We start from the raw sequence: 19772 nt of genomic DNA on the forward strand, positions 1-19772 counted from the left end.
GGCCCCGGCCGAAGAGGCCTCCGGCCCAGCACTGTGGACGCCTGTGATCCCAGACAGCGGGCCGGGGGCTCAGGGACCGCCCTGGGAGGGCGGGCACTCACCATGTTGACTTCGGAAACCATGTCGATGCTGGCGATGTCGATGTTCATCCCCACGCAGACCGGGGGACCTGCGGGAAGCACAGGACACGGCGATCAGCCCAGCTCCGGCGCGGGGCGCGGGCGGCTCTGAGGACTGGGGGCTATCCCAGGAGGGGCGCGGGCGAAGGGCCCCCACTCCCACCCGCCGCTGCTCCGCGGATGCGGCCCCCGCCTCCCTCCGCCCAGGCCGCCGCCGCCGTGGGTCGCGCTTCCCGCAACGGCCGCGCGCAGCCCACTTACCCCCGAAGTCGGGTCTTAGGCGAATGTCGTAGCCTTTCAACAGCTTGTCCACCGTCTCCTTCACAAAGGACATGTTCCCGGGATCGTTCACACTGGGGGAGGGACGGGGAGCACAAAGAGCGGGGTCAGGGGCGGCTCAGCCGCCAGCGCCCCGCGCACCCCGCGCCCTGCCCGCCGCCCGCCGGCCCACCCGCGACCCTACCTCTGGGCGCAGCACACCACAGCCACCAGCACCGGGGCCGAGAAGATGCCGAAAAGCCTTCCTCCCGCAAGGCCCCACATCCCTCCGCCGCGCCCCGGCACGGGGGAGGGGGCGCCCCGCCGCCGTCGCGACCCGCAGCCGGGGCTGCTCCTGCTGCTGCCGCCGCCGCCGCCGCCGCCGCGCTGGCCCGGAGCGGAGGAGGGCGGAGGGGGAGGGGAGGAGGGGGAGGAGCGGGCGCTGGGAGAGGAAGGAGGAGCGGGGAGGGAGGAGCGCGCGCGGGCGCGGGGCGGGGGAGGAGGCCGGAGAGTCGGAGGCGGAGCCGCCGCGCCGCGCACCCTGCCCTCCCCCACGCTCGCCTCGGCCCGAGGCCGGGGCCCTGGGCGCTCCCCTCCCGCCTCGGCGGCCGCCGCACGGGACTCGGACCTCTGGGACCGCGGAGTGCGGGGGCGACCTGGGCCGGACGCTGCGAGCGGAGCCGCGGCTGCGCGGAGTCGGGAGGGGCGGGGGGTCGTCCCCTGAGCCGGCTCCTCTGGGCTCTCGGCGGCCGGGCGAGTGCGGGGACTGTCGGCAGCCTCGGCGCCGGCATAAGCGGCGGCGGAAACGCTGCCCGCCTACCCCGGCCGCCGAAGTTGGCCCCGCACGACGACCACCGCCCGCTGCAGCGCAGCCCGAGAGCCCCCGGGTGCCGCGCCTCTGCCCGCCGGACTGCGGGCCGCCGCCTCCCGACGGTGCCTGCAGAACGCCGGGAAGCCCCCGCCTCACCTGCGGGGCTCAGAGCCTCGGGTCCCCAGGGTCCAGGAGAGCCAGATGGGCAGCAGGAGCTCCAGGAGCCCGGAGCACATGGCGCTGTTCCTCCGGCCTAACCTGCTGGGATCCGCTCTCCCCCCTACTCTCCGAGCAGCCAAACGGCGACGCAGGGATCCCCGCCCCTACCCCCACCCCCACCCCCAGGCTTTCCCGCCTGACCCGTCTTCCAGCCCCTGCCGTGGCGGCCCTATTTTTCATTTATACAATTGGACCTTTTTTTTTTAACAGCTGCTCCTTAAACTGCACCTCTTACCCTCACTCCTGAACATTTCTTGGGAGCACTGAGCCCTTTCTGCTCACATATATACAAATGTAATGGATGGTTAAGTGAGGACTGAATATGTGTTTTGTTATCAGCAAACTGGAATCCCAGCCAGACTTGGAGACTGGATTGTCATTCCAGGTAAAATACGTGCCTTTTTTGGTGCCGCCCAGAGCTATCCGTGGTCCTTAATATAAGGCAAGGGTCCTTGCTTCCCTGCAGCAGGCCTCCTTCGGCTGTCATTAGAAGGCTACTGGCGCACTGGTGCAAGGACCCTGGTGTACCAGTGCACACCGGATGCACCCCACCCTCTGGACCACCACCGCACACCTGAGGGGCCACTCACCTACGGCCACAGGTTTTATATTTTAGTGAGTGATCCCCAATAAAGTTTATCTGTACCTCGGACTTCTAATATTGAAGAAGATGGTTACACAATCCTACTTGTAGCCAACTAACAAAATCTACACATCAAGCTCGTTTTTGTGTTCTGTAGACTTCTTCAGATTATTCCAGGACTTAATGAATGGTTAATAATAGATAACTACTTTCCTGTATTGACTCATTTTTTTTCCCATGAAGCTTAAGCTTTTAACATCGTTGAGACTTTATATTAGTAAATACCTAAATCTAGATCCTAAATCTCACGTTGGCATGTTTCTGTGCATTAATTTTAAATATACTGCCTTTTTAAAAAATCAGCTATTTTATTTTTGGAACAGAAAATGTGACCGCAGTACCTGAAAGATTCAGAGATAAATATAGCATCCTAATTATTTTCTGGAAAAGTCTATTCACCACTGCTTTGCATTCAATGTTCTGTTAATGCACAATGGAATTATCTGGAAAATTATATCTGTTGCATCACACACACATTCATATTTCAGTTTATTTCTCCTATTTGCATGCAGTTCTTTTGGAGAAATGCCCTGCTGGGGATCGTGGCTATAAAAAGTAAACAATGAAAAGAAGTTGTTTTAATAAAACCAACAACATAGCAAGAATTAGCCCCCTTACTACCAGTTTATATGTTCTAAGACTTGCAAAGCCACATTACAAACATTATTATCCAACCGTGCATCACATCAGACCTTCTTGGCTTCACCTTCTCTGGAGCTTTTGGCTTTATCACCCCAGCTGCTGCCTCAGCACCCAGTTCTGCAAGAGGTCTGATCAGCTTTACATGGGAACAAGCCCACATGGGATATGATCACCTCATATCCGCAAGGTCTGAGATGCCACGGGATTTGCTCAGTACTCACATATATGCAATCTGAAATTTCAGGCAAGTTAGAAGTCTATGAGGCAGACTTTTGTCTAATGGACACATATCCATGGATCAAAGAGTCTCCCTTTATTGCCTCCTAAGAAATGTCCTGAGATGCAGTCGCTGTTGGCCTCTCAAAGATGATCCTGTGAGATGGATCCATCTTTTGTACTTCATACTCAGCAGTGGGTGGTCTGCCTGGTAATGAACCCTCCTATCTGCTCCCTCTCTTTCCATGCCACAATTCCCTTTTCCTTTGCTCCTGTTTTCATTGGAATCAAACATCCTAGTAACATATCACCACCTAAATTTTGCCTCAGGATATGTTTTCTGGGGAACCTAGGCTGAGTTGTAAATTAGTCGGCAAGTCACTAGAAGTGTCACCTAAAAACACAGTCTCTTTCAAAAGGCAAAATCAGAGAGAAAGACTGCAAAGGTGTGATCAGGATGCATGGGCTATAAGGTCCTTACACACCCACACACTACTGCACATCACAGTCGCTGCCCGACTTGCACCTACATCCGCAACAAAGGGTGGACATGCAGCCTGCCGCCCTTCCTCCTTTCTCAGCTCCCTCCAACATAGGCAGCCATCTGGGAGGGGTGGAGAAGCACTGAACACCAGCACCCACATCCTTGCGCTCTCTTGCTTAGATAGTAATTATGTATTAGCCAAATCAGCAGAAAATTATTAATTCAGTTCTTACTTGCATTCATTTTAGACTGGAAGAAAAAAAGGCTCCAGGAGTCCCACAGAGGGTAATTTTTCATGGCAGAAGGAAAAGGAGATGAATGGCATTTTGTTCATAGGAAGGTGGTTTTAAATGGTCTAGAAGAATATTTGGAGACTCTCAAGGTAAAAAGAAGGAAGGGAAGCAGATAGCTGGGAGGCATCAGGTGATCACGTTACCTTATCCATGTTTGTGCATTTTCATTGACCCAAATGCCTTTTACCCGAACTATTTTGTTCAGTCACTCTTCTTTTAGAAAACTTGTTTTTTTAAACAGTATCAAAATTTTCTGGCACTACATTTTAATGCTCTTCAAAAAAACAACTCATAGCACATGAAATAAAATGTTGCATGTATAGATACTGAGTCTCAACAAATGTATAAACTAGTGTACATTTTCTTTTTTTTTTTTTTTTTTTTGAGACGGAGTCTCGCTCTGTCGCCCAGGCTGGAGTGCAGTGGCGGGATCTCGGCTCACTGCAAGCTCCGCCTCCCGGGTTCACGCCATTCTCCTGCCTCAGCCTCCCGAGTAGCTGGGACTACAGGCGCCCGCCACTACGCCCGGCTAATTTTTTGTATTTTTAGTAGAGACGGGGTTTCACCGTTTTAGCCGGGATGGTCTCGATCTCCTGACCTCGTGATCCGCCCGCCTCGGCCTCCCAAAGTGCTGGGATTACAGGCGTGAGCCACCGCGCCCAGCACATTTTCATCATTCCCAAAGTTCTCTTGTGACCCTTTGACCCATCTGCAACTGAGGGTTCCAGACAAGCTCTGACCCACATAGATTGTGTCATTACACTTGTTACTTTTTTTTTCTTGCCTGTTCTAGGCATTCTATAAAAGTAGAATGATGTACTATACGTTGTTTCATGTCTGGCGTCTTTCACTGGGTGTAATGTTTCTGAGATCTATTCATGTTGTTGCAGATCCATAGTTTGTTCCTTTGTATTGCCAAATAGTATTCCATTCACCTGTTGATGGGTCTTTCTAATTTTAGTGATTATGAATAAAGATTCATATACAGGTCTTTATATGGACATGAGGTTTCATTTCTCTTGGACAAATACCTAGGAGTAAAATGGCTAAATCATGTGATGAGTGTATGTTTAGTTTTATAAGGAACTGCCAAAATATTCCAAAGCACTTGGAGGATTTTGCATCTCACCCGCAATGCAAGAGAAATGCAGCTGCTCCACATCCTCTCGGTTCATCTTGTTGGGTGTATAGTGGCAACGCATTGTGGTCTTAATTTGCATTTGCCTGGTGATATGTAAGTAAGCCTATTTCATTTACATATTGGCCACTCACATTTTCTTTGCGAAGATACAAGATTTCTGCCCATTTTAATTGCATTCTCCATCTTTTTTATGGCGATTTGAGAGGGTTTTTTTTTTGTTTGTTTGTTTTTTTTTGAGATGGAGTCTCACACTGTCACCCTGGGTGGGGAGCAGTGGCTCGATCTCAGCTCCCTGCAACTTCCACCTCCTGGGTTCAAGTGATTCTCCTGCCTCAGCCTCCCAAGTAGCTAGGATTACAGGCACCCACCACCAAGCCTGGCTAATTTTTCATATTTTTAGTAGAGACGGGGTTTCACTATGCTGGCCAGGCTGGTCTTGAACTCCTGAACTTGTGATCCGCCTGCCTTGGCCTCCCAAAGTGCTGGGATTACAGGCGTGAGCCACCATGCCCAGCTAGAGTTCTTTATATATTCTGGATATGAATCCTTTGTCAGATATATGTAATGTAATGTTTTCTCCCAGTCTGCGGCCTTGCTGTTTTATTTCTTTACTAGTATCTTTCAAAGAAAAGAAGAATTTAATTTAGATGAAATGCAATTTATCCATTTTTTTCTTTTAAGGTTCACACTTTTGATATTCTACTTTAGAAATCATTGCCTAATTAAAAGTTAAGATTTTCTGCATGTTATCTAAAAGTTAGCATTAATATTTAGACTTGTTACTTGTTAATTTTTGTGGATGATGTAAGGATCAAGGTTCTTCCAAATGAAGTGTATTAGTTCTCACACTGCTATAAAGAAATACCTGAGACTGGGTAATTTGTAAAGAAAAAATGGTTAATTGGTTCACAGTTCTGCGGACTGTGTGGAAAGCATAGCGGCTTCTGTTTCTGGGGAGGCCTCAGGAAACATAATCACGGCGGAAGGCAAAGGGGAAGCAGACATGTCACATGGCCAGAGCAGGAGGAAGAGAGAGAGGAGGGGAGGTGCTACACACTTTTAAACAATCAGATCTCACGATAACTCACTCACTATTGTCACAACACCACCAAGGGGGATGGTGTTAAACCAGGAGAAACCTCCTCCATGATCCAATCACCTCCCACCAGGCCCCACCTCCAACACTGGGGATTATAATTTAACATGAGATTTAGGCAGGGACATAGATTCAAACCATATCATGAACCACGATTTGTTGGAAATATTCTTTCCTTCAATCTGGTTACCTTTATATTTTTGTTGAGAATCAATTGATCTTATATGTGTGGCTGTTTTTTTTTACTCTATTTACCCTTTTCCATTAATGTATCTATATATCTTTATACTAATCCATACTGTTTTGATTAATGTAGCTATAAAGTTAATATTGAAATAATGTAGCATATTCCATCCAATTTTGTTCTCCAAAATTATTTTAACTATGTGATGTCTTTGCATTTTCATAAATATTTTAGAATGATCTTTTCAATTTCTATAAAGAAGCCTGATGGGAGTTTTAATTTGTATTACATAAACTGTGTAGATGAATCTAGGGAAAATTGACATCTTAACATATTTCATATTTTATGCTATTATAAGTGATTTTAAAATATCTAATTGCCAATTGCATACTGCTAGTACATATAAATATGATTAACTTTTCTATATTATCATTACATTCTACAACCTTACTCAATGTACTTATTATTTTAATAGACTTTTTTGTAGATTCCTTAGGATTATATCCAAGAGATAATTACGTCATCTGTGAATATAGACAGTTTATTTCTTCTTCTCCTATATGTAGATATTTTAAATTTCTTTTTCTTGCCTTACAGTACTGGCTGGGGTTTCCAGTACAATGTGGAAAGGAAGTGGTAAGAGTGGACACCCTTGCCTTGTTCCAATATTAGGGGAAAATATTCAGATTTTGTCGTTGCTGTTGTTCGGGATTTTTGTTTTTTGTTCGTTTGTTTACCATTAAGTATGGTGTTGACATCTTCTTATTTTTCTTCTGTTCTCCTTCCCCTCCCCTCTCTTCCTTTTCTTTCATCTCCTGGAAAAGTTTAGTCCTAAGAGTAGAGAAGTACATGGTGTGCACCTGGTAAGGAGTAGGGAGCTCTCAGGCCAGAGTCCAGGCAGTGTGAAGACGGCACCGAAGCTTCATAGCTTGAGAAACTGAGAAAAGCACCATTTCACATGGAAGGCTTAGTTTGAAAATCACAGCCAAAGCGAAGTAGGGAAGGCCTGGAGAGGGAGAGCCAGCCATAGTTCTCAGATCATGGAATGTGGGCAAAGTAGCCTGTATTTGAAATTACAGCCAAAGCAAAGCTAAGAGAACATCCCCATTGAGGCCTGGTCTGGTTTGGCAGTCTGTTTCAGAGGGTGAGGAGAGTGTCTATGCACGAAGCCTGCCCTGCATGAGGGAATAAGCTCACGCAGGAGGAGGAGGGCAAGCACTGGGTGGGCGAGCCTGGCATACAAAGTTCGAGCTCACACAGTGCTAGGAGGGTTCCCCCACAGGAAGGCATACACAAGGTGAAGATGAGGGGGGCATTCACTTGATAAGGTGACCTGTTGTGGAAAAACAGCCCAAGCAAGGTCAGGAAGGCATCCATGTACTGGGATGGCCCAAAATGGGGAGTCAGAACCTGAACAGGAAGAGGAGAATGCCAGCAGGGAATGGAAGCAGTGGCAGCAATGGGAGACATAGTGGGAACTTAATCCAATAAATACATATACCAAGAGTAATGGAACCCGAGTTTCTCTCTGTTGGAGATGGGAATTACGAGTACAAAAAAAAAGGAGAAATAATCCCTGTGGTATGATTGCAATTGAATGTATTAGTGTGAACTACTGATTTTCAAAGTATATCTATAAATACAACTATATACATATATAAACATGTATATATGTACTTACTGTATACCTACATATACACACGTGTGTGTGTTTGTGTGTGTATATATATTCTCTGCTTCTACCCACCAAGAGGCCTGGGAACAGTGACAGCACAATAGCAATGAACACCCTCTGCACCCAGATCTTGGCTTCTCCATACTATTTTCTACTGAAAGGAACCAGAGCTACTTGGGAAAATGGATACTTCCAGAGACAGACAGGGAAAGTGTAAGATAGGATTGGAACACTTGTGGCAGAGCAAGGAGGTGTTCAAAGAATGATGAGAACATGTCAAAAAGACACAAAATCCAGCTTGAATGTTTTTATACTGCCTAATTCTGGGATGATTTGAGTAAAAATTTAAAAAAAATGAATTACAACCCTAAAATAATGAATTACAACCCAAAGGAAAAAATTGGAAAATTAGAGTTCATACACATTGTGTTTGATCATGAATGATATATTTTGATCATTAACGGTAATATATTACATAGCATTTAAGTATGTGTTTCACAAAATTATAAAATTAACTATAAAATTAATTATAATTTAAAAATAGTATATTTATAATTCAGCTGGGCCAATACTACCTTAATCAACAGATCTATATGAACAAATTTAAAAAATGAGGTATCTCAAAATTATGCATCTCATGATATAATGCAGTGAGAAGATTATATCAGTTTGTCATTTTCACAAAAATATACAAGCTAAATCCAATCACAAGAAAACATCAGACAAACCCAAATTAAGAGAGTTCCTACAACATAATAACCCTATAATAATCCAAAAGTGCAAATTCCATTGTGTCCAGAATTGGTGGGTTTTTGGTCTCACTAACTTCAAGAATGAAGCCACAGACCCTCGTGGTGAGTGTTACAGTTCTTAACGGCAACGTGTCCAGAGTTTGTTCCTTCTGATGATGAGATGTATTCAGAGTTTCTTCCTTCTCGTGGGTTCGTGGTCTCACTGGCTTCAGGAGTGAAGCTGCAGACCTTCACACTGAGTGTTACAGCTCATAAAGCCAGGATGAACCCAAAGAGTGAGGAGCAGCAAGATTTATTGCAAACAGCAAAAGAACAAAACCTCCACACTACAGAAAAGGATGCAAGCGGGTTGCTACTGCCAGCTAGGGCAGCCTGCTTTTATTCTCTTACCTGGCCCCACCCACGTCCTGCTGATTGGTCCACTTTACAGAGAGCCAATTGGTCTGTTTTACAGAGAGCTGATTGGTCCATTTTGACAGGGTGCTGATTGGTGCATTTACAATCCCTGAGCTAGACACAAAAGTTCTCCACCTCCCCACTACATTAGCTAGATACAGTGTCCACACAAAGCTTCTCCAAGTCCCCACCAGAGTAGCTAGATACAGAGTGTCAATTGGTGCATTCACAAACCCTGAGCTAGACACAGGGTGCTGACTGGTGTGTTTACAAACCTTGAGCTAGATACAGAGTGCCAATTGGTGTATTTACAATTCCTTAGCCAGACATAAAGGTTCTCCAAGTCCCCACCAGACTCAGAAGCCCAGCTGGCTTCACCCAGTGGATCCCGCACGGGGGTGCAGGTGGAGCTGCCTGCCAGTCCCATGCAATGCACCCGCACTCCTCAGCCCCTGGGTGCTGAATGGGACTGGACACCATGGAGCAGCGGGCAGCGCTCATCTGCTAGGCTCCGGCTGTGCAGGAGCCCAAGGCAAAGGTGGGGAGGCTCAGGCATGGCAGGCTGCAGGTCCTGAGCCCTGCCCCACGGGGAAGCAGCTAAGGCCCGGCGAGAAGTCGAGCACAGCATCTGCTGGCCCAGGTGCTAAACCCCTCACTGCCTGGAGCCCGCGGGGCCGGTTGGCCACTCCGAGTGTGGGGCTCGCTGAGCCCACGCCCACCCAGGACTCACGCTGGCCAGCAAGCCTCGCAGGCAGCCCCGGTTCCGCCCGCGCCTCTCCCTCCACACCTCCCGACAAGCTCAGGGAGCCAGCTCCAGCCTTGGCCAGCCCAGAAAGGGGCTCCCACAGTGCAGCTGCGGGCTGAAGGGCTCCTCAAGCGTGGCCAGAGTGGGCGCCAAGGCCAAAGAGGTCCCGAGAGCGAGCGAGGGCTGTGAGTGCTGCCAGCACGCTGTCACCTCTCACCAGAAAAGACTGATAAACTACTCCAAACGAAAGTAAACCAGAGACAGGAATTCTTAATGCATGCATAGTTCTGGACTCCATCATTTTGCTGTAAAATATTTTAATGAGGCAATTGATTGATCTTAAATGGGGTGTAAAGATTGAATGGCAATAATTTAACAGTATCTATTTCCTGATATTTTGATGGTTGGATTGTAATAACACTGAAAGGCTCTTTGTATGTATGAAACCACACTAAGATATGTGAGAAAAGTTTTCTGCAATGTTATGACTTCAAACTAAAAAAAAAAAAGTGTAAGGAAGTTCTGCAGATCCTCTTTATCAGATTAAGGAAATTGCCTACTATTCCTAGTTTAATGGAGAGTCTTTATCAAGAAAGGTATGCAATTTCATCAGATGCTTTTTTTTGTATCTATGAGATAATCATTAATTTTCTCCTTTACTCTTTTAACATGATAAATGACATTGATTTTTCAAATGTTAAGCAATATTTGTATTCCTAGGATAAACACTGCTTGGTCATTTTGCTTATACTTTTTACCTGTTACTGCATTTGATTGCCCAATATTATTATTAAAAATGTGTGTGCCTAAGGTCATGAGTGTTTTGGTGTATGTTTGCCTTTTCTCGCCTAGTTTTTGTATTAGTGCGATGCTGACCTCAGAAAGCAAGGTTCCATGTGTGTTCCTTTCTCCTGTAATTTTTGAAAGATTTTTCTGTAGGATTGTCATTACATCTTTCTTAAATATTTCCTAGAATTTGCCAATGAAGCCAATGAAGTTTGAACATTTTAATTTCTAAATAATAAATACATTATCTTCAGCAGACATAGGCTATTTAGATTTCTAACTTATTTCTGAACTTATTAATAAAAAATATTTATAACATTCCCTTATAATTTTTAAAGTTTGTAGTGCATGTAGTTATGCTCCCACTTTCTTTTCTGATATTAGTAGGTTGTGTCCTCTTTTTTATATTGATAAGTCTAGCTAAAAGTTGCTTACTTTCATTCATCTTTTCAAATGATCTGTTTTTGGTTGCACCACTTTGCTCTATTGTCTGTTTTGTATCATTGATTTCTGCTTTTGTTTTTACTATTTCCTTTCTTCTACTTTCTTTGGGCTTACTTTGCTTTTTCCTTTTCTAGTTTCTTAGGATTGAAGCTTAATGATTTTTAGGACTTTTCTAATACGGGCATTTAAAGCTATGTATTTCTAAGCTGCAGTAGTATTCCAAAACATTTAGTATGCTATATTTTAATTTTAATTTACTTCACTATTTTCTCATTTATTTTGATTTTTATTAGCCATAGGTATTTAGAAGTATGTTCTCTAATTTCAAACCATTAAAAGATGCTAGATTCTATTGTTATGTTTAATTTTGTTATAATCAGAGAACATATTTCCTATAGATTCAGCTCTTCTAAATTTGCTGTGATAAAATTTCTGACCTGTGCATGGTTTAGGTTGGTGATTATACCATGCACACTTGAGCAGATAGTGCATTCTGTTCTTTGGAGTATTGTATAAATGTCAATTAGGTTAAGTTGGCTGACAGTGATGTTTGGGTTTTATATATCCTTACTGATTTTCTGTGTACTTGTTTAGTCAATTACTGAGAGGGGAATGTTGATGTCTTTAAATATTATTATTATTTGTCTATTACTTCTTTCAATTCTTTGAGTTTCTGCTACTTGCCTACTTGTCTTTTCAAACTGTTATTTGGTGCATAGGCATGCAGGAGTTGTACGATTTTTTTTTTTTTTTAAGATGGATTCTTGCTCTGTTGCCCAGGCCAAGTGCAGTGGCATGATCTTGGCTCACTGCAACCTCTGCGTCCAGGGTTCAAGCGATTCTCCTGCCTCAGACTCCTGAGTAGCTGGGACTACAGGTGCGCACTACCACACACCTGGCTAGTTTTTTGTATTTTTAGTAGAGATGGGGTTTCACCATCTTGGCCAGGCTGGTCTCGAACTCCTGAGCTTGTGATCCACCCAATGAATTGTCTCTTTTATTATCTGAAATGTTCCTCTTTGTTGCTGGTAGTATTCTTTGCCTGGAGCCAGCTTTGTCTTATCTTAGTAAGTACTCCAACTCTTTTACAATTTTTCCTTTTATTTCAACCTATTTGCTTAGAGTTAAAATCTTTTTTGCGGGCTTCATTTAGTCAGGCCAAGCTTCTTTAATCATGTCTGATAATTCCTTCCTTTTAGCTGGACTGTCCAGTTCAGATCTATTTAATAGAAATGTAATGTAAGCCACACACTGAAATTTTCAAAAACATTCTGTAGCCATATTAAAAAGAGGAAATAAGTGGCATTAATTTTAGTAACATTTTATTTAACCCAATATATCCAAAATATATTTCAACCTTTAATCGATGTAATGAAAAAAAGTGTCATAGTAAGTATTCAAAATCTGGTGTGTTTTTGACACTTGCAGTGCATCTTAATTTGGGGTAGGTCCATTTCAGGTGCTCAATAGTCACAAGTGGCTATTAGCTACCATTTTGCACAATGCAAACCTAAACTACCTGTATTTAATGTCATTATTGAAGTGGTAAAGTTTAAGCCAAGCATCATTACTTTCTTTTGTTTTGTTTTCTGTTTGTCTCATGTGTTCATTGCCCTTTCCCACCTTTTCTTGCCTTTTAAAAAATTCAGTTCGGCTTGGTGCAGTGGCTCACACCTTTAATCCCAGCACTTTCGGAGGCTGAGGCAGGCGGATCACGAGGTCAAGAGGTCAAGACCATCCTGGCCAACTTGGTGAACCCCGTCTCTACTAAAAATACAAAAATTAGCTGGGCGTGGTGGCACATGCCTGTAGTCCCAGCTACACGTGAGGCTGAGGCAGGAGAATCACTTCAACCTGGCAGGCAGAGGTTGCAGTGAGCCGAGATCACGCCACTGCACTTCCAGCCTGATGACAGAGTGGGACTCCATCTCAAACAAAGAAACAAACCCCTCAAATCGTTTTTTTTTTTAGCATTCAGTTCCATATTTACTGTGGGGTTATAAACTATGCCTTTTTTCTGGTGTTTAAGGTTTACAACGTTTAAATACAGGCTAGTGTCAAATACTATAATTCTATTTAAAAGTTTAATGCAAGAACCTTACCACAGTGCAATTGTATTACCCCCAAATTGTGTGCTATTTTCTTATATTCTATATATGTTAAAATACCATAACACATTGATAATGCTATATACCTTTCAAGAAATATTTTAAAAAATAATTTTCTACATATTTGCTGTTTATAGCACTCTTTATTACTTTGTAGTTATACAAGTTTTCATCTGACATCATTTTGTCCAAAGAACTTACTGTAACATTTATTCTACAGCACATCTGCTAGTGACAATTCTAGCTTTTCTTGACTGAAAATCTTGTTTGCCTACATTTTCATGAGATTATTTTGCTAGATGTAAAAGTCAAAGTTGACAAGCTCTCTTTTAGCACTTTAAAAATAGTAGTCCCTTATTTCATAAAAATTAATAACAACTTGTGTATTTCAATAAATTAATAAAAATACATTATCTCTGTCCTCATGTACATTTTTTTTTCAGAGACAGGGTCATGCTCTGTCGCCCAGGATGGAGTACAGTGGTGCAATCATAGCTCACCGCAGTCTCAAACTCCTGGGCTCAAACGATCCTCCTGGCTCAGCTTCCCTAGTAGCTGGGACTTAGAGGTGCACGCCACTGAGACCAGCTAAGTTATTTTTTACTTTTAAATTTTTTTTTTTTTTTTTTGGAGAGACAGGGTATCAGTTTGTTGCTCAAGCTGCTTTCAACCTCCTGGCTTCAAGTGATCCTCCCAAAGTGCTGGGATTATAGACATGAGCCACTGCACCTAGCCCTTAACATCTTAATATACACCACCTGAGTTGGCTTTAAGTTTTTCCGTCTATCAATACTTATCACCAATTTTATCTTGATGTTCCTAGATGTGCTTTTTTGTTGATCCTTCTTGGAATTCATCGAGCTTCTCAGGTCTGTGTGTTTATAGCTTTCATCTCATTTGGATAATTTCCAGCTAACATTTTCAAAAACATTTTTCCTCCCTTCTTGGGAAACTCCAATTACACATATGTGTGACACTTCGATATAGTCTCACAGGCCTCTGAATACTTTATTTTTTTCAGTGTGTTTTTCCACTGTGCTTTAGTTCAGATAGCCATATTATTATGTTTTCAAGTTGTCTTTTTAAAACCTTTATATTTTTATGTTTACACAGTAGGTATATGTATTTATGTGGTACATATTTTGGTACACGCATACAACGCATACTGATTACATCAAGGTAAATGGGGTATTCATCTCCTCAAGCATTTATCATTTGTGTCACAAACATTCCAGTTATATTTTGTTATTTTTAAATGTACAATAAATTATTGATTGTAGTCATCCTATTGTGCTATCAAATACATCTTATGCATTGTAACTATATTTTGTTAGAATTATGCAGTTATGTAATTGTATAATTTTCTAACATGTGTAATTATATGAGAGAGAAAAACCACAATTTGCACCAACCTAATATATATTCTTTGTGAAATCGCTAGGTTTTTCCAAATATAATATTGCATCATCTGCAAACAAGGACAATTTGACTTCTTCCTTTCCAATTTGGATGCCCTTTCTTTCTCTTGTCTGACTGCTCTAGCTAGGATTTCAAGTACTATGTTGAGTAACAGTGGGGACAGTGGGAATCCCAACTTCTCTTGTCTTATGCATTATGCAATTTGCTTTGAATCTTGTCCGGTGACACAATCTTTTCAGAAATTGTATTTGAGCTCTAAAAATTTCATTTGGTTCTTCTTATATATTCCATTATTGCCTTCATTGTGTTCATTTTTTATTTAAACCATTAAGCTCATCAACAGTAGTTTTATCATTTTCTTGTCTGGTTATTCAATCATTTCTTGCGCTGTTATTATAATGAGTGTTTTTTTTTTCGGCTTATGGTTACATTTTCCTGAATTTTGGTATGCTAATAATTCTTTTCAGACTCTGCACATTGTGAATTTTATGTTGTTCTGTGCTGTATTTTGCCATCTTCTTTTAAAGGGTGTTTGTCTTTATTCCAGCAGTTGTTATGTAATGGATCAGTTTGATCTTTTCGAGAGTAGTTTTAAAGTTCTTCAAAGGGAAGGTCTAAGGTGGCCTTTAACCTAAAGCTATTTTAGTCCTACTACTAAAGCATTACCCTTCTGGGATACCTACTTAATATGCCCATTTAATGGTCCTATTTAATGGTCTTTATATGTTTAATAAAGATCCTCCATTCTTGCTGATTAGAATTAGAAAGTCATCTAGTCTTGTGTAAACTCCGAAAATCATATAGGTTGTAGGTCCCGGCTTATTGTCTATTCAGCTCTGTGGAGACTCACTCTATGCATGTACAGCTTAATACTCATCAACAAATGCAAGAGAACCCAGATGTCTTGAGCTCTCTTTCTGCAAAGCATCCTCCTCATTCTATAATTCGGAAAATTTAAGTTGCTGCATTTTCTCAGAACGCTGATCTCTGTCCTCTCAATCTAGTGATCTGCCATGTCCTGCTTAAGATTCTTTTCACCACACTGTAGTCCATAAAGGTCTCTATGCAAAAAGCCAAGTCAATTGTAGGGTTCTTGTTTCCTTTCTCTAAGGGATCACAGTACCGAACTACCTATTGTTTAATGACTACGTACAGTTGTTTCATAGGTTTTCTTCAGCTTTTCTAGTGACTTATGATACAAAAGCAAGTCTAGTCACATTTACTTCATTATAGCTGGAAGGAGAACTCAAGCTGATTTTGATTACAGAGAAATGACTATTGATGTTACTAAGAGCAATTACTGAGAGTAATTGTCATTGTTCTCATAACACTGAACTAAAAGCAGCAAAGGTTCTTATCTCAGTATCTCATTAAATTCATAACTTTACTAGCGAAGTATGTTTATATATCCTGTTAAGTATATTTACACCTATGGCAAAATCCTAATCAGAAAAACTAATTAAAACCCTTGTCTCTGGAATAGTTGCTGAAATGCCAATAGGGAGAGGGGAAAGACGTGACCTGCGTGGCTAATTTTTAACTAATCAAAGAAATAGAAGACAAGAATTGCCCTGAAGAACATGATTACTGGTGATAACGTAAAATATTTTTCAATAATAAATCATATAGTTTGTTGTCGTCTTCCGCCTCTGGAACATTTTACCATCCAAGGTTTCCAAAAATACTCTACTTACACCACAACCACCACAAGAGCTTAATCCAATGATGATACAGTGTGCATTTCCGACATATTACCCAGATTTTAACATATTCAGTAACAATGGACTTAGAAGTCTATCAGTCAATCAGTGATTTCCAAAACATTAATTTCTTTTAAGATTCATGCCATGGTTCCCTTTTTCTTCTTCTCCTGAGTCATTCTTTGTGTGGGTCTCCTTCCTAACTTGACTAAATATCAATGATGATCACAAATAGTGAAAAGATGGCCTAATACTCACAAGTATAAGCTGGGTGCAACGAGAGACACAGAAAAAATAAAGAACTGTTTTGTGTTTTAAGATCATACAAATAGGAAACTGACACAAGCTTGAAAGCCTAACTCCACCATAGGGCTGCATCTTAATGAAAAGTGTAAATCAAAACACAAGTAAAAAGACGAAAAAATCTTGCACCATTTCAATACATCGGAATTTTTGAGTAGTCTCTTTAGCTTGAGAAGAAACACCCTAGCCCTTTCTTTTACGAAATACACACTGAATTATCAGAGGTAAAAAGACATGATGTATGCAAGCTATATCGAAATATATTGGCAAAAATAATTTGTGTGTGTTTATATTTGTAGAGTCAGATGAAAAAACAATGTGGAACAATATTTTAAACTGCTACATCTGAGTAACGTGCATGGTTGTTCTGTATGATTTTTGCAACTTTCCAGTAAGTTTGAAATAATTTCATAATAAGTTTTTAGAAAATACACTGTAGCATTTAACATGTTAATGTGTTAAATTATATTTCATTATACGTTACATTTAAGTATATAATATAGTCTAAATCATAAACCATGGATTTTAACATTCTATATTATACAGCAATAAATTGTGAAACTTAAAATAATGTACTCTACAGTCCACGTCTTCAACACATGTACTGTAACATATTAATATTTAAGCTTCACAATTACTCCATTATATAATAGTATATAGCATGTTGAAATACGTGATACATAATTTAAGCAAATAAGGTTGTTATCTAAAACGTTTAGAAGCCAGTCTGAAAATGCTTTCAGGTTTCTGTCTCTTTATAGTTAAGCATCCATTTAAATTACACCGTTTTTGAAATCTACCTTATCCTAGCCATTTGGCTAACAAATTTATCGAACAAAAATATAAATGCAACACACTTCTTGCCTTTTAGCAGCTTGTGATAGTGGAATTTAAAAGCCTATGTAAGAACTCAAAGAGATTATCCATTTCTTTCCATGAGATTTAAGAAGGAAGACAACAGCACACTGTAAAGCTTCACTAAGAAAAAAATGGGAGCCGCTGCAGCCAAGCATTAACATAAGAACCCTACCAAGGTAAACAAAAAGAGGACTTAACCAGACGGAACAAATAGAACTTCAAGACGCCCCTACCTACTATTGGATCCAGAACTTACACTGAGCAGCAGGTTATTGGTCTCACGAACTTCAAAAACGAAGCCGCAAATTCTCGCAGGGAGTGTTACAGCTCTTAAGGATGCAGTACCTGGAGTTCCTTCCTCCAGCTGTTAAGACGGGTCCAGAGTTTTTTTTTTTTTCTTCTGGTGGGTTGGTACTCTGAGTTCATTATCTATGTGAAGCTGCAGACCTTTGCAGCGAGCGTTACAGCTCTTAAAGGTAGCGTATCCCGAGTTTTTCGTTCCTCCCGGTGGGTTCGTGGGCTGGTTACTCTAGCCGACTTCAGAAGTAAACCCACAGACCTCTGCAGCGAGTATCACAGCTCATAAATAGAGAGCCGTCCCAAAAAGTGAGCAGCAGCAAGATCTACTGTAAATAGCCAAATAACAAACATTCCACAGACCCAAGCACATTGCCACAGATGCTCCGCGGGGCCAGCATTTATTCCCTTAGTTGGCCCCGCCCACATCCTGCTGATTGGTCCATTTTACAGAGTGCTGATTGGTCCATTTTACTGAGCACTGATTGGTCCATTTTGCAGAGTGCCGATTGGTCTGTTTTTACAGCGTGCTGATTGGTGCTTTTACACACCTTTAGCTAGACACAGAGCACTGATTGGTGTGTTTACAATCCTTTAGCTAGACAGAAAAGTTTTTCAGGTCCCCACCCAACCCAGAAGCGCAGTCAGCTTCACCTCTCATTACTAAAGTCAGTTGCTTACCTGCTAAGAAAAGTCATGGAGTGGTGACAGAAGAAGAAGATACAAACTTTATTCCACCAGATCAGCTGACTTTAGCCTGCAGAGTGCTAGAATAGCAAGCATTTCAGCCATCCATACTACAATTGTGTTCTTTGACTATCATTTGGAGACGTTCATAGAGCCACAAAAGTACACTTGTTAAATAGTAGCTTCAGTTATCAGCTGAAGACAAGTGCAATGTACTAGTTAAATGATAACACCACGAAGAGGGAGGGAAGTGGAGGAGGGAAGACTCTACTCTCCTCGTGCAAAGAACTTCTACTGAGGTAATAATAATGTGTATGGATGGCCCCCAGATACCCAAATGCTTGTGCAGATCATTAGACTTCCTACTCTTGTGTAACTAGCTTTTATTCCTTAAGATTATGATTTTTAGATTTCTCCCTATTAATAAATGTGGCTCCAGTAAATTTGCACACACATATAAATATGTCTTATCAAAGAATATATACATCTTTGTATTTACTAAATATTGACAAAAATTCTTTTCCAAATGGACTGTATCAATTTACAGTTATAATAGCAGAGCTTGAAACTTCTCTTTGGTCTATATATTCAATAATTCTCTGTAATACCAAGAATTACATTTTTGTCAATTTGTTCTATAATGAAATAGTAGTGCGGTGATAATTTGCAGTTCCCTGTTTATTTGTAACTTTAGAAATCTTTTCAGATTTTCTGACCGTTTATATTTGCTTGTACCTTCAGACAAAGACAAACTTTATTTTTCTTACTGAATCATAGGTTATGGATTGTCACATGCTAATTTTTGGTACAAGTGCTTCACATGCTGAGAATGTCAACCTCCCCTTTTTCCTGTGTTATTCTGCTTTTATTCTCCTTTGAATTTTGTTTATTCACAGGGTTTTGCAACCAACACCACGATCTCTGTTTATAACATTTTCATCCATCTAAAAGAAGCCCTGTAAACATTAGCAATCAAACCCAGCCTCACTACCCGCTGCTCCCACACCAACCTTCCTCAGCCCAAAGCTTCTCATTGTATTTTTAAGCTATTTTTATCTTATTTTATTTATTTATTATTTTTGAAAGAGGGTCTCGCTCTGTTGCCCAGGCTGGAGTGCAGTGACACCGTCATGGCTCACTGAAACCTCTGCATCCCAGGCTCAGGTAATCTTCCCACCTCAGCCTCCCTCACCTCACCTCAACTGGAACAACAGGCACACGCCACCATGCCTGGCTGATTTTTTTTTTTTTTTTTTTTTTTTTTGTAGAGACAGGTTTCACCTGTTGCCCAGGCTGGTCTCGAACTCCTGGGCTCAAGTGATCCACCCACCTGGGCCTCCCGAAGTTGTGGGATTACAGGCGTGAGCCACCGCTCCCAGCTCCTCATCGTATTTTTTAATGACTATTAGAAACATACCGAGACCATCCTGGCTAACACAGTGAAATCCCGTCTCTACTAAAAATACAAAAAAATTAACCGGGAGTTGTAGCGGGCG

The 19772-nt window shown here is 41.8% G+C and overlaps 1 protein-coding gene across 3 annotated transcripts in view, besides 1 other annotated feature; it reads right to left on the minus strand.

The window, feature by feature from the left end:
* The window catches only part of GABRB3 (gamma-aminobutyric acid type A receptor subunit beta3), a 230212-nt gene extending 228749 nt beyond the window's left edge, over positions 1-1463 (minus strand). For 2 of the 3 annotated variants that reach the window (NM_000814.6, NM_001278631.2), the window contains exons 1-3: positions 583-766; positions 381-472; positions 102-169 (exon numbers count right to left, since the gene is read on the minus strand). In NM_000814.6, coding sequence (NP_000805.1) covers positions 102-169; positions 381-472; positions 583-662 — 240 coding nt within the window. In that variant the 5' untranslated portion in view covers positions 663-766. Of the gene's footprint in view, positions 1-101; positions 170-380; positions 473-582; positions 767-1344 lie in introns of those variants that run through there. The other variant, NM_021912.5, reaches the window with a different exon arrangement.
* Positions 17317-18516: an enhancer, noted in NCBI's record as "BRD4-independent group 4 enhancer chr15:27034764-27035963 (GRCh37/hg19 assembly coordinates)". NCBI's record gives its function as "activates an origin of replication core promoter dependent on BRD2, P300/CBP, MED14 and CDK7 cofactors, and independent of BRD4, by STARR-seq in HCT116 cells {active_cell/tissue: HCT116}" and the evidence as "EXISTENCE:reporter gene assay evidence [ECO:0000049][PMID:35650434]".

Source organism: Homo sapiens, chromosome 15 (assembly GCF_000001405.40).
Source record: "Homo sapiens chromosome 15, GRCh38.p14 Primary Assembly".
In the NCBI taxonomy this organism is placed as follows: Eukaryota; Metazoa; Chordata; class Mammalia; order Primates; family Hominidae; genus Homo; species Homo sapiens.